At 45.3% G+C, this 14415-nt stretch overlaps 4 annotated features.

Annotated features, from left to right (window-relative positions):
* Positions 1277–1446: an enhancer, noted in NCBI's record as "experimental_32810 CRE fragment used in MPRA reporter constructs". NCBI's record gives its function as "activates a minimal promoter by MPRAs in K562 erythroleukemia cells, with activity observed for both the introgressed and non-introgressed 13:28109793 variant alleles {active_cell/tissue: K562}" and the evidence as "EXISTENCE:reporter gene assay evidence [ECO:0000049][PMID:34662402]".
* Positions 3009–3509: an enhancer, noted in NCBI's record as "H3K4me1 hESC enhancer chr13:28107645-28108145 (GRCh37/hg19 assembly coordinates)". NCBI's record gives its function as "activates a minimal SCP1, AML or CMV promoter by ChIP-STARR-seq in primed H9 embryonic stem cells {active_cell/tissue: H9 hESC(primed)}" and the evidence as "EXISTENCE:reporter gene assay evidence [ECO:0000049][PMID:30033119]".
* Positions 3510–4010: an enhancer, noted in NCBI's record as "H3K4me1 hESC enhancer chr13:28107144-28107644 (GRCh37/hg19 assembly coordinates)". NCBI's record gives its function as "activates a minimal SCP1, AML or CMV promoter by ChIP-STARR-seq in primed H9 embryonic stem cells {active_cell/tissue: H9 hESC(primed)}" and the evidence as "EXISTENCE:reporter gene assay evidence [ECO:0000049][PMID:30033119]".
* Positions 11392–11561: an enhancer, noted in NCBI's record as "experimental_32809 CRE fragment used in MPRA reporter constructs". NCBI's record gives its function as "activates a minimal promoter by MPRAs in K562 erythroleukemia cells, with activity observed for the non-introgressed 13:28099678 variant allele {active_cell/tissue: K562}" and the evidence as "EXISTENCE:reporter gene assay evidence [ECO:0000049][PMID:34662402]".

The raw sequence follows: 14415 nt of genomic DNA, 5'->3' as shown, positions 1-14415 counted from the left end.
AAAAACAGCTCCCTTTAGACTGCAGGGGGAAAAAATCTACTCTTAGAGGTTCCTCTGAACTCAAACTTTTGTTTACTCTCAACATGGTGTGTGTTTTCGTAAATATGACACAGTCAGCAAGTTCTCTCCCGCGCCTTAATCACACAAGTGATGCACATTCCCCAGGCATCACCCTGAGCTTTCCGAAGAGCCAGCTCCTGCTCACACTGTGCCGCTTTTCCAGGAATGCCTTGTCCTGCTGATTCTCTAACCTGACCCCAGCCATCAAGCCCTGCTTATCCTTCTAAGCCCAGCCCAATGCCAGCGGCATCAAGGCTGCCTGGCACCTGCAGCCCCCCTGCCACTCGCTGTTCTTGCACTTCCCTAGAGGCACATGCTGGCTGCCACTTGTCCTGTCTGTGCCCCTCAGCACCTGAGAGCTCCTCCAGGGCCTGGGTGTTCAGCCACCCACACACCTGACAGCACCTGCACGTGGTGTTCATGCAATGCCTGCTGGCTTTGACTCAGCAGTGTCTGAAGCTGCAGAGAAATTGGGAGGGTGAGGATTGAGAAATAGTCTCTGGGTTTACATCCTTGGTGACTTTTCAGAGAATAGGTTCCATGGTAGGGTAGAGCTGGGAAGTCCAATGGCAAAGGGCTAAGGACTGGACACCGAGGCCACAGAGTTGTTCTCGGCTGCTCTTACAAAAAGTTTGGCAAAATGTGCAAGTACCTGTGGATGAAACGACATGATGTCTGAGGTCTGCTTTCAAACCATCCAGGAAACAAAGAATAGAAAACGGGAGTAAGGGAATGTTTGAAGGTTTTCATAATGGAAATAGAACAGCAGAAACAAATGAGTGCAAAAGTTTGGAAATGAGAAAAAAAAGCTGTTGTTAGCCAGGCCCCTGCGGTTTGAAATGGATAGAGTGAGCCTGTATAAGAAATATGTCATTTATTTTCCTTTACCTATGTTGGCATAATTTCTAGGCAGATTTGATTCTTTTATCTTTACATGTTCAAGAAGTGCGGGTGGCAGATGACTAACAACACCATGCGTGTGTCTAACACCCGTGCACTCACTACACCATTTCACTTCTGCACTTTTGTGCGTTCTTTACAAACATTTCATTTGATCCTCATAATAGACTTGTGAGGTATGTTTCAAATAGATTGCTCCCATTGGATAAATGAAAAACACTGAGATTTCATGACTTACTCATTTGCACATAACTGGCAAGTGGAAAAATACACACCAGTCACCGGCACCCCTAGTGACCCTTCCCTGCCCACTGCAAAAGGACTCGGCATCATTACATTTCACATTAGTATCCTGATCACACTGCCCATCCTGAAAACAAGGAAATAATTGCGTCCCACCTCTTCTCGCATTTTCTTTCCCCATGAGGAGCACTCTGCCACGTTCAACGTTCAGACAAGATTGAGCACGTTCAGGGTGGTATGGCTGTAGACTGCCATGTTCAACATTCATTCAACAAACACAGAAATAAGTAAGACAGCCCTGCCCTTTGGGAAGTCCACATTGTAAAGTAGCAAGCTTGGATGAAATGTAAATAAAGTGCATTCTGCCCGACCTTTGGAGAGGCCAGCAGTTACAGTTCTGTGGAGCAGGAATTTTGCAAGGTTGCAAGCTGTGCTAAATCGGTGTCCCAATTTACTTTTTGACTTTGAAAATGATTAGCATTCTTGGTTTGTACTGTATTTCAGCCATCCTTGTTGTCTGAGATATTTGCTTTCAAATTTTCCGTTGTAGTGTCTAAACAGGAGAACTTCACTGGTCTCTTAATTGCTGCTCTTGGCTCTGAAGGTGCATATCTTGGCAGAAATTCTCAAGTGTACTTCAGGATTCAGAGACTGTGGAAGTTGAGAACTTGATATTGGAATTTGGTAAAAGATCTGAAGGACTCCAGGAATGCAGTATCTCAACCTGAAAAAAGTTTCTTCAGCTTCAGTGGTAAAATAAGATTACAACAGCTAACATTTGTTAAAAGTTGAGTATGCACCAAGCATCGTTCACATGTGTTTATCCATTCATTTCTCACGACAAGCTTCCAAAGCAAGTTTCATTAACTTTCCCAGTTCTACAGTCAGAGAGGACAGGCACAGAGAGGTTGGGTCTCAGAGCTGGAAGTTGTCGGGGGAGTCTGATTTCTGGGTTTAGAGCCCACCATGCTATGCTCTCTCCTGTGTTTAACACCAAGGCCACGCCAGGGCCCACACTAGATGCGGGCTTGATTCCTTTGTGAGCACTGGTCAGGGAGTCAGAAATCTGCACTCTGACCCTGCCTTTGACTCTGACTTCTGATCTGACCTTTGACTCTTGTTTGTCATGATCCTCTTGTCACCATCTGACATGAGGTGGCAGTAAAGGAAAGAAGGAAATAGTGCCCAGGTGGGACAGGCCCTGCTGCTGACTCAGCCGCTCCCTGGACAATCCCTGCCACTTGGAAAGAGTCTGTGATCTGCCACGGTTCTGATGTGTCTGCTGCCACTTCATGGTAAGAGCTATGCCCGATGCATGATTATTTTTACTTGGTCTTATAGATAGGATTTCCCATTTTCTTTCTTTTATTTCACCACCACTCCCAGGGGGCAAAAAAGGAACAATTACATTCTCACTTATTGTGGCAGCATCTTTTGCTTGAAATGACAGATTTGTTTGCTTTTCTAAAAAAAATTCTGGTTGGCCTAAGACTGTCAGATCTGCTGAGCTCATCATTGCTTCTCCTGCGGACTGGCTGATAAAGGGGCCTTCCTAGGAGTAAGAGATGCGAGAGCTCTGCTGTTTCCTTTGAGTTCACTTGTGCTCCCGTTACTAATGTTGCCAACCTACAGATTCTTTGCAACCATATTTTTAAAGCTACATATACATTTTTTCCAAATTAATTTAGTTAACACTGAATAATGAAATCCTTAAATCCACTTATCCGGGTGCACACAAAATATAGTAAGTGGCAACATGCTGAAGATGAATGAGTATGTGAGGGTGGGTGGCCTATCTCACCAACCTCATAACGTGTGGCTTTGACATTTGGAGTACGTGATGGTGCCAGCATCATCGATCTGGATTTTAACTAAAAATATATATACACATACATATGTATGTATGTATGTGTATATGTATGTATGTCTGTGTGTGTATGTATATGTATGTGTGTGTGTATATATATGTGTGTGTGTGTATATATATATACAGGGTGTGTATATATATATATATATATACAGGGTGTGTGTATATATATATATATACAGGGTGTGTATATATGTGTGTGTGTGTGTATATATATACACACACACATACACATATATATATATGCACATACATGCTGACACCCTGTCCCCGGTGCCTGCCTCCTTTGTCTCTGTCCCCATGCCAAGCAGTGTGCTGTCACCCCGCTTCAGTTTTGAGCAGAAGTGCACATGTGGTGCCACCTGTGGGAAGTGTGGTGGGGGTGGCCTTGCAGTCACTTGTCACTGCGTGAGCCACTCCCCTGGCCTCCTCTGCCGCTGTCCTTCCTCCTATGGGGGAAAAGGAGGTGGTTCTCTCACAGAACTGTGGCTAAAGGGTGACAGCCCTCACCAAAGGTGAGACTCATGAGCATCGGGAAGAAAGTAGCAGTGGAGTGTCCGGTTAGTTTTCTCTGCGGACTGGAGCAGCCGGGCATCAGAGCCCTGGGAGCTCGGGCACCACCAGTGGTCAGCGCTGGCCCTGGACGTCCCTAGTTCACTGGGCCGCGTTTCAGCGCCCTCTGCTGGCTCGATGGACTGGCCGCCCTCGCTTGCAGCTCCCCGGTGTTTGCAGCCTGTTTGCAGCCGGTGGCTCCCGGTGCAGGAGGTCAGGGAAGCTGCAGCAGGAAGGGTTGGATATCTGAGGCCACAAACAACTTACATATATGAAGGGAGTGCGTCTGTCCCCTTCCCATGTGGCATGAAGAGCCTCACAGTTGGAATAAAATAGCAAAGCAAGATGTGCAAACATTGTCGACCTTCCCCGTGGCCATTTCTCTATCCCTGGGTAACTCAGACCGCAATTTGTCCTGCTCCCTGCATGTGAGTTTCGCTTCTATGGTATAGGGCTCTTTGAATGTCAATGTTATTGAGGTTTTGATAATTACGCACCTTCAAAAGATGTTCAATGTAATAATGATCATACTCCTCTAAAAAAGCCTCAGATTAAAAGCTTTTGCTGGCTCTTTAGACCGTGGGCCTGCAATTACAGAAAATGAACTGCATTTTAGCCTTCCATTGAAATTAATAACAACGGTTCCCCAGTTGACTCTGTGAATAGTTAATGGAACGAACAGGATACTTCAGTACAATATGGGTTGGAAAGCCATTTGAGTGAGATTCTGGGTTTCAAATGGGAAAATAATTCATGCAATGCAAACCTGTTTCATATGCGCTCTGTAGAGTAGGTGTTTCTCTGGAATAAAAATCTAACTATTTAACAAATGATTAACCATACCTCAGTCATCATGAACTCTCATGAAAACTGAACTCAGGTACGTGAGCTAACACATGGTATCCAGTGCTGCAGAAGACCTGAGAGGACAGAGATGGACCTCCTTATTTGACAATGAAGAAACAGAATTAGCGAGGTGGGGCTTTGGAGGCCAGCAATCCTGACAAAGGAGCTGCCTAGAACTGACCCTTTAACCCTCTGGCAGTGCAGGGTAAGGGAATCTTTGGACTATGGGGAGACTGGGATATGGAGGTTGAGGACAAAAGATTGTGTGGTCCAGAGTGTTCTCTGGCTGGGGTCCCCATTTCAATTTATAAGAATAAAACCTAAAAAGCAATTAAAATTATGTTGAATTCAGCAAAGTTACAGGATACAAAATCAGCACACAAAAACTAGTTGCATTTCTAAACACTAACAATGAACAATCCCAAAAGGAAGTTAAAATAATTTCATTTACAATAGCATTATAAAGAATAAAATATTTAGGAATAAACTTGAACAAAGAGATGAAAGACATGTACACTGAAAACTACAGGATATTGCTGAAGGAACTTAAAAAAGACATAAATAAACGGAAAGACATTTTCTGTTCATAGATTGAAAGACTTCGTATTGTTAAGATTAATACTACCCAAGACAGACTCAGTACAATATCACAATCCCAACCATGTTTTCTGCAGAAATAGAAATATCCATCCTAAAATTCATATGGAATTTAAAGGGGCCCAGAACAAAGCTGAGGGTCTCATTCTTCCTGATTTCAAACTTGCTACATAGCTAGTCATCAAAGCTGTGGTACTGACATGAAGATAGACATATAGACCAATGGAAGAGAATAGGGGGCCAGAAATAAACCCTTGCATATATGGTGAGATGATTTTCAACAAAGGGGCCAAGACCATTCAGTGGGGCAAAGACAGTCTTTTCAACAAATGCTGGGAAAACTGGATGTCCACATGCAAAAGAATGAAGCTGGACCCTTACCTAACACCATAGTTTTTAAAAAGTTAACTCAAAAATCTAAATGTAACAACTAAACTATAAAACTCTTATAGGAAACCAGGCAAAAAGTTTTCTGGCAAAGATTTATTGGATATGACATCGAAAGAACAGGCAACAATGATGAAAAGATAAATTGGATTTCACTAAAATTAACAAATTGTATATCAAAGGACACTCACAGAATGGGAGAAAATATATGCAAATCATATATCTGATAAGAGATTAATATCCAGCATATACAAAGAAGCTCTATAATGCAACAATAACAACAGCAAACAAAAACCCAATGAAAAAAATGGGCAAAGGAGGTGAATAGACATTTCCTTAAAGAGGATATACAGATGGCCAATAAGCACATGATAAGATGCTTAACACCACTAATCATTAGGGAAATGTAAATAAAAACCATGAGATACCACTTCACACCATGAGGATGGCTACCATTAAAAAGAAAACAACAGGCCAGGTGCAGTGGCTCACACCCGTAATCCCAGAACTTTGGGAGGCCGAGGCAAGTGAATCACTTGAGTCAGGAGGTCGAGAATAGCCTGGCCAACATGGTGAAACGCTGTCTCTACCAAAAACACAAAAATTAGGCAGGCATGAGGGCGCGCTCCTATAATCCCAGCTACTTGGGAGGCTGAGGCATGAGGACCCTTGAACCTGGGAGGCGGAGGTTGCAGTGAGTACAGATTGTGCCACTGCACTCCAGCCTGGGCAACAAGAGCAAAACTCCATCAAAACAAAACAAAACAAAACAAAACAAAAAACCCCAGCAACAACAGAAAATAACAAGTGTGGAGAAATCAGATCCCTTGTGCATTGCTGGAGGAAATGTAAAATTGTACAGCCAGCATGGAAAATGGTATTGTTGTTCCTCAAAAAATTGAAGATAGAATTGTCCAATTATCCAGCAGTTTCACTTCTGGGTCTATATTGATAAACACTGAAAGCAGGGACTTAAACAGATATTTGCACACCCGTGTTTACAGCAGCATTATTCACAACAGCTAAAAGGTGAAAACAACCCAAGTGTCCATTGATGGATGAATGGGTAAACCAAATGTGGTCTATACATACAATGAATGTGATTCAGTATTAAGAAGGAATGCAATTCTGACACATGCTGTGACATCGATGAACTGCGAGGACATTATACTAAGTGAAATAAGTCAGTTACAAAGGACAATACTTTATGATTCCACTCGTATGAGGCACCCAGAGTAGTCAAATTCATAGACAGTAGAATGGTGGCAGCCAGGGGCTGGAGAAAGGGGTGGGGAGTGGGGAGTTAGTGTTTAATGGGCACAGAGTTTCAGTTTGGGAAGATGCAAAAGTTCTGGAGATGATGGTGATGGTTTCACAACAATGAGAATGCACCTAATGCCATTGAGCTGTGTGCTTTAGAATGGTTAAAATGGTGTTATGTTATGCATGAAATATGTTATGCATATTTTACCACAATGAAAACATTAAATATTTTATAAATGTACTTATTGACATGCAAATATGCTTATGAATATGTTAAGGGCAAAAACAGGATACAAACTGTTCAGATTATACAAATGATTTTTAAAGATTGTGTGTGTGAGTGTATGTGCAATTATCCATTAAAAAGGAATGGAAGGATGTTTCAAAGTGTTTACAGTGGTCACATCTAATTACTAGGGTGATTTTGGTTGATTTCAGCGTATTTTATCATTTTTGCAGAATGAACATGAATTTTTATAATACGTATGTTGTGTCTCAAATGTAAACTGAAAGAAATGTTCAGGGTATGCTCGCATGCAGGCCACAGTCCCCAGGGAGGTGTAAAAGGAACTTACTCGTGGAAATGGAAACGAATTGTTTTATCTAATGCTCACAAAAAACAACCCTGCAAAGTAAGTATTCTCATTTTCATTTTATAGATGTAGAAATGAAGGAAAAGTAACTTGCCCGATGTGTGGCCTGCCAGCCAAGCAGCTCCTCCCCTTTAGAAAACCTGGGGCGAAAAAGATTTTCTAAAAACCTTCTGAGATGTGGAATAGATGTTATTACATTCAGAGCTATTAAGATGTGGTTGAGAAATAATACCTAATTTCCAGCGCTTCAGAGTCAACTAAGAGTGTGTGTAATGTAAAATTTGGATTAGAGCTCTGTCCTGGGGGTTGTCCTATATGACTTGTTACTTCAAAATGTCACAAAGCTAGGCAGAAAAACTAAAAATTTAGATGATGCTGAAACGGAAAGGGTGAACTTTTAAAAGGTAAAGTGTCTCATTTAGGCTCAAATGATTAATTGCATATGAACAAAATGGAGAAAAGTTGGAAATTCTAGACAGCCACAAATTCAGCATGAACTGGTGTGTAACTTGGCTGCTGGTGCAGTAGTCAGCTCCATTCACCCAGTGGAGCACAGCGTCTACATGCAGGGAGGGTGGCCCCCGCTGTCCTCTGTTCTCAGTATAACACATCCAGGTCTTCTGGGCACTCCTAGAGGTGGACGTGGGAATCTGGATCATGTCCCGAAGGTAGCTGTGGAAACCTCATCATCTGAGCTGTAACAGGAAACTGTAGACGTTGACCATGCAGTGGCCCAAGGCACACATCGGCTGTCTTCATAAGCTTCTAGGCCATCCTGCAGAAGAGAGCTGACACTTCCTGCATCACTGCAGAAGGCTGAGTGGGTGCTCGTGTTGAGAATTGTGGGAAGGCAGACGGGGTCACAATGCCAAGACAGGTCGCAACAATTCCAGGCACTCTGGCACGAGGCCAGTGTCTCCAGAAGGCTCCATGGAGAAGCCAGGTGGGCATCCGGAGAGACTCTTCTTGCATGGGAGCGAGGTTGGAGGAAGTGACCTCCAACACTGAGATTCTGGCTGGTGACTTAGGACTAAGGAGAAGGTGTCAGGGCCATGCCTTTCCATCACATCTGCAGGGCTCCTTTGGGTGGGTGGAGGGGTGTATTAGGCCGTTCTCGCATTGCTCTAAAGAAATACCTAAGACTGGGTAATTTATAAAGAAAAGAGGTTTAATTGGCTCACAGTTCTGCAGGCTTTACAGGAAGCATGGTGCTGGCATCTGCCTGGCTTCTGGGGAGGCCTCAGGAAGCTTCCAATCATGGCAGAAGGCAAAGGAAGAGCAAGCACTTCCCAGGGCAAAAGCAGGAGCAAGCACCAGAGTGGGAGAGTGGCGGGAGTTGCCACACACTTCCAAATGGTCAAATCTCTTGTGAACTCGAACAAGGACTTACTTATCACCAAGGGGATGGCCCAAGCCATTCATGAGGGCCTCCTCATGAGCCACCCCCATGATCCAAACACCTCCCACAAGGCCCCACCTCCAACATTGGGAATTACATTTCAACATGAGATTTGGAGGGGACAAATATGCAAACTATATCAGGGAGTTTCTAGTGGGGAACATTGAAGAAAAGGAGTGTCGGGGGGCACTTACTGCTTAAAGTCATGCAAAACAAGAGTGAAGAGCATATAGGACCAAGTTATCTCCTGCAGAGCACTTCTGGCAGCCCAAGGCACAGCTACTGGGGATCATTTTAGGAAGAAGAAAATAGCTGCATTCTACAGAGCACCTCACTGTGCCAGCATTCCTCAGAATGGGATGTCTCGGCACTAGCTGGCTGGCATTGTCTTCCTTAGCCGGCCTTGGCTGATAGTGACAGTGCCTTGTGCCAGGTCATCTGTACCCCCACAAGGGTGGCAGAGGCAGGCAGGTGGAGGGTATGAGAAGAGGAGAGGGTTGTGGATCACGGAAATGTCAGAGTCCTGGAATGCTGCAGGTGAGAACATCTCAGCAGGGGATCACCTGCTCAACCCCCTGGTTTTCAGGTGAGGAAACCAGACTTCAGATAAGTTAAATGACTTCCCCGGAGCTGGGCTGAACCAGCTGGGCTGAACCAGAACCAGGATCCAGGCTCCAGCCTCTAGATCTAATGCTAGCTCCACCTTCCCACACAGGAGGCCAGTGTGTAAGAAAGTGGGTGGTGAGGCCAAGGGGGAAGGAAATCTCATTTAAGATGACCACAAACAAAAGGAGAGGAGACCAAATGCATGCCCTTTCTTCAGAGAAGACACTTCTTCTCAGGCCTGGAGCCCTGATTCCTGGTTCCTTTGGGGCTGGGCACCTCACCTCCTGGCACTCCTGCCTATAGCCTGTAGAGTGGAATTTCAGATCCAGCCACTCTCGGGTTTGAATCCTGGCCATGCCACAAGCTACCTGTGTGAGTTTGGACACGTCACTTAACCTCTTTGAGCCTGAGCATCATCAGCTTTTTCCCAGGTTGGCACATGTGGCATCCTCCCAGCATTGGTGTGTGCTCACGGAGCTCAGCCACAATTCCTCATTACCTACTTCGAGATGATCTGGGTGCCTCCATCCCCTATTCTGCCCTAAGAGGTAGCCTTGTAAGTATTGCTGCTGCTCAGAAGGGAACCCTGAGAAAGGCATCCAGATGGACCTAGCATGAGGTAGATCTGAGAAGAGAGTGTTTGGAGGCAAATTTGACCCTGAATAGCCCTGTTTCCTACTGTCTTTGTCCATTTTCTGTTGCCATGACAGAGTACCTGAGACTGGGTAATTTATAAAAAGAAGAGGTTTATTTAGCTCACGGTTCTGCAGGCTGAAAAGTTCAAGAAGCAGGGCACCAGCATCTGCTCAGTGTCTGGTGAGGGCTTTCATGCTGTGTCACAACATGGCAGAAGGTCAAAGGAGAAATGATAAATGCAAAGAGGAAAAACCAAGGGGCCTCCTGGTTTTATAACAACACACTCTTGTGAGAACGAATCCATTCCTGTGATAACTAACCCAGTCTCACGAGATCAAAACTCACTCACTTCTTTCAGAATGACAGAAAGCCATTCATGAGGGGTTCACCCCCATGACCCAGACACCTCCCACTAGGATTTCCTGTCTTGGAGAAGGAGGAAATGAGAGTATTTGGGCTTAAACACCAAGGGAGAGGCTGATCTGACCTAAGGGAATGTGGGTTTCCCACTGGGAAAGGAAGAAGAGCATCGGAATTGGAATCAAGAGAAAGCTTGATCCAATTCTGGGTTCACTCCTATTAGCTGTGGGCTTTGGGCAAAGCATCTCACCTCTGAACCTCAGTGTCTTCCTCTGTACCAAGGGATAATGATAGCCTTTCCAACCTGACAAAGTGACAGAGGAAACATAAACTCAAAGGAGATAACGAATGTGAACATACTTTGTAAACTAGAAAGAAGTGTGCAAATAGATGTAAGGAGTTATTTTCATTGTTCTCTGTGCTTGTTCTCTGCCCATATGTTGTGTGGAAGAGAATCCTGCAGCAATGATACAGCTGCATCCTGCGGAAGGCCAGGGGCACTGCTCTGCACCCAGGCAGCCTGCAGCAGCCTGTCAAGGAGTCAGATGATGGCACCTGGCAAACTCCAAGCCGACAGCTTTAGAGCTCCCAATGAATGAGTGTCAGGACCCATGCCCATCAGGAGCCAGGGGCACAGAAGCAAATGGGGCTCTGTCTAACCCATCCTAGAAAAAGAGACAAATATACAAGTAGAGACTGTCATTCTACCTTTAGGTAAAACTCAGGCTTCTGTTTGTCTATTCTTCTGGCAATGGTGAGAATGTAGTTCTAGCATCCTTGAGCTAGTCAGGTTGGGACAATTAGGAAGACAAAAACCAAAGGAATAAAAATAGAAGGCAAACAGATGGTACCCAGGAGTGGAGGGGTTTTGGCATGAGGCTTCAAGAGATGGAGTGCGCCCAGGAGGGGATACCCACGATCTCCACATGACACCCCCATCTGTGCAGGGTGAGGATGCCCACCTGCAGTTAGAGAATGGGCTCCTGCTTCAGGGATCATCCCTGGAAACTTGAGCCAGACAGGAGCTTGGAGCTCCTGTTACAAAATCAAGAGAGCAGTGAGCATTTGCATGGAGTACCAGAGACAAGAAAAAATGCCTCACTAACCCCTGTCAGCCACAGAGCAGGATGGATTTACAAGGATCTCACTGAAAGGAGATTCTGAAGTTTCCAGCAGATAATCCATGACCCACATGGGATTCTTAACCCAACAACACAGACAGTTATCAGGCCACAACCTTTGCTGTGACTTGCTCTGCCTGGAATGACTAAAAGACACCATAACAGACCCCAGCTCCACAGCTAACAAGGAATTAAGAAAAGAGAAGTGGTGAATAACAAAGTGTATTAAAACTCGGAGTTTTCTCTCATAGACTTTGCTTACTTTCAGCGGCGGTGGTGGGGGCCAGTCTTGAAACAGATGCACGAGAAGCCTCATCATCATCAAATCAATACTAATCTCCATAATAGTTTCTGCATTTGAAACATGAGGGAGTTGAACAGGAGGCTCTCCGAGTACCGCGCAGCTCTGGCACTCTCTAATGCTCGGATGTAATGCCTCTTAAGCACGGCGCTGCATCTGGGATGAAATGGTCTCAAAGACTTGAGGGACTGCTGAGAGAATGTGCGTCTTGGTGGTACCTGGGTGCATGAATGGACAGGTGGCCCGTGTGTAGGAACTGTTTTACTTTTTTTATTATTATTGTTTACAACAGACATGTTCTAAAACTTTAAAGATTGGAAGGGGGGATGAGAGATCAGGCTTCTGGGGGTCTGCAGAGATTCTGTTTCTTGGCCCAGGTGGCGGCTGCATGGCTGTATTCACTTTGTGATGCACATTTATGATCTGTGCACTTTTATTTATGTGCATTATGCTTTAATGAATGTTTACATTTTTAATGTCATAAAACATCCTATTCCATTTTCAATCCCTTTTCTAACGTTCAGGTTTCAAAACTCAAAATACATCTAAGAAGTCGGGTTTGGGATGATCTAGCTGGAAGCCTTGGGGCCTTGTTGGCATGAAGGTTGATGGGCTCTCCTAGCAGTCGCAGCCCTGCCTTCCTGCTGCCTGGCATGAGGCATTCTCCCTGGTGGAGGGTACCCTCCTCTGTCAGTGGCACTCAGGAAAGAAGCTGGGTGTTGTTCTGTTGCTTCCCACTCGCCTGGCCTGTAACCAGAGCAGCAGTTCTGTGCTGAGCTCCCACGGATCGCCAACTCTTCTGACTGACCCAAAGCATCCGTCACCTTCCTCCCAAGGCCAGGCTCCCCCTCTGTGTCCCTGGTTCTGTCAAGGGTACAGGTGGCCCATTTGGAGACCCCATTGTCTTCCTGGAGACATCTCCTCGGGTTTCTAGCCATCCCACACTTCTTGAAATTGCATCATTTAAAATTTTTTTTTTGTTTTTCTTTGTGTGTAAACTAATTTTGTATAACATTTAAGGAGATTACAAAAATAAAAATAACACACTTGGGGAAGAAGGTTATGCTCTCAAGGAAGCAGGTAGAAGGTCTAGGGATGTTGACAGGGAGGCCCATTCAGCAGAGGTGGTCTGTGGGTGCCAGGATGGGGCTGCCTGACCTCCCCCAGGGCCTCAAGGAAGGGGACCAAGTGTTGATCCCAAGAGCAGGCCTTGCCTGTTAATCTCCATCTCACAGTCTCAACCTATGACCAAGGCACTGCCACAACTGAGCTTCCTCTAAGTTCTGCAGATTCTGAGCTAGTTTGTTCATATTCCACACACACAGGCCCACTTTCTTCACTGGCCACACAGATTTCTGCACCATGTGGCTTTTATCCCCTGGGGCTCAGCATTGTGGATTTGGCAGTCCTGCCTGGGATAGCAAAGGAAGCTGTAACCCTGGAGCTGGAGTCAACAGAGCACTGCAATTTGAACACATGGTGGTGAACAGCCCATTCGAGTTGATGCAGAGCTTCTTCCAGACTGGAAGGCAGCTTTGGGAATGGCCCATGCTAGAACCAGGAAAGGACACAGCACACGCTCCAGCCTCATGGGAAGGAATAAGCTGGGACTAGGTGGAGGAAGAGATCATTTCTACCCAGCACTGCTGCTGCAACCACAGGGAGACACAGCCAACAGCTTGAGGACAACCTCAAATACAGGAAAAGCACCCCAGTGATTGACAGTGATGCATGTCATAGACCCAGCCTCGTGCCATGCCACTTCCTCCTCAAGCCCACCTCTTCCCTCCAAATACAAGTTATCTCTTCCTCTTCTATAGTTTGCATAGAACTCTTAAGACATACATAAAATTAAATCCAGCAAATACTGATTCCACCTCTGCTATGCTCTGGGGCGCTGCTGGGGTTACCATAGTGAATGAGTCTGACACAGTAACCCTGGAGGGGACAGGGGTTGGGGCGCTGTAGATGTGTGCAGCCAGGGGACTTATTTTGGTCCAGGGTTCATGGAATGCTTCTTTGAAAAAAAAAAAAAACAGAATAGGTCAGTGGGGCTCGGCCATGTGTAGGGCAGATGGTGATAGACATTCCAGACTGAGGGAACTGAGTGTGCAAAAGCACAGAGGGAAGAAAGCTCAGGGACATTCCAGGGGCCCAAAGAACTTCAGTATGAGTGTCACATGGAGAACCAAGGGTGAGAGACTCAAGGCACTGAGGGCTGTAGGGGTGTCAGGGCCAGATAAAGGAAGTCCTTGCATGCGTCGCAGCTGAGTTTCATTCCCGGGCTAAGAGGAAGTCCTTCAATGCTAGTAAGCAAGGGGTATAAGACATGATTGCATCCCAAAAAGATCATTTTTGTCTCCCTTGAATATTTTCTTAGTATAACAATGTCCTCTATGACCTAAGAAGCTCCAGCAGGCAGAGCTATATCCACCCATCTTGGCTTCCTCCAGAGGACCGATGGGCCCAGCATGCACCTTTCTTAGGGAAGGTTTGTTGAGTGGCTGAATGGCATTTTCACATGAATCACACCAGGCCCTCTAGATAAATCAGCAGTCTGATTCGTGGCACACAGTTCAGCTGAAAGACACACAGATGGTTCCATTGTTTCTTTTTATATTTTATATTTTATATTTTTTATAGAGTCCAGTGTCTTGCTATGTTGCCCAGGCTGGTCTCGAACT

The sequence above is a fragment of the Homo sapiens genome, chromosome 13 (genome assembly GCF_000001405.40).
Source record: "Homo sapiens chromosome 13, GRCh38.p14 Primary Assembly".
NCBI lineage: Eukaryota > Metazoa > Chordata > Mammalia > Primates > Hominidae > Homo > Homo sapiens.
Note: the sequence above shows the minus strand (reverse complement) of the source record. Positions and strands in the feature narration are given on the sequence as shown.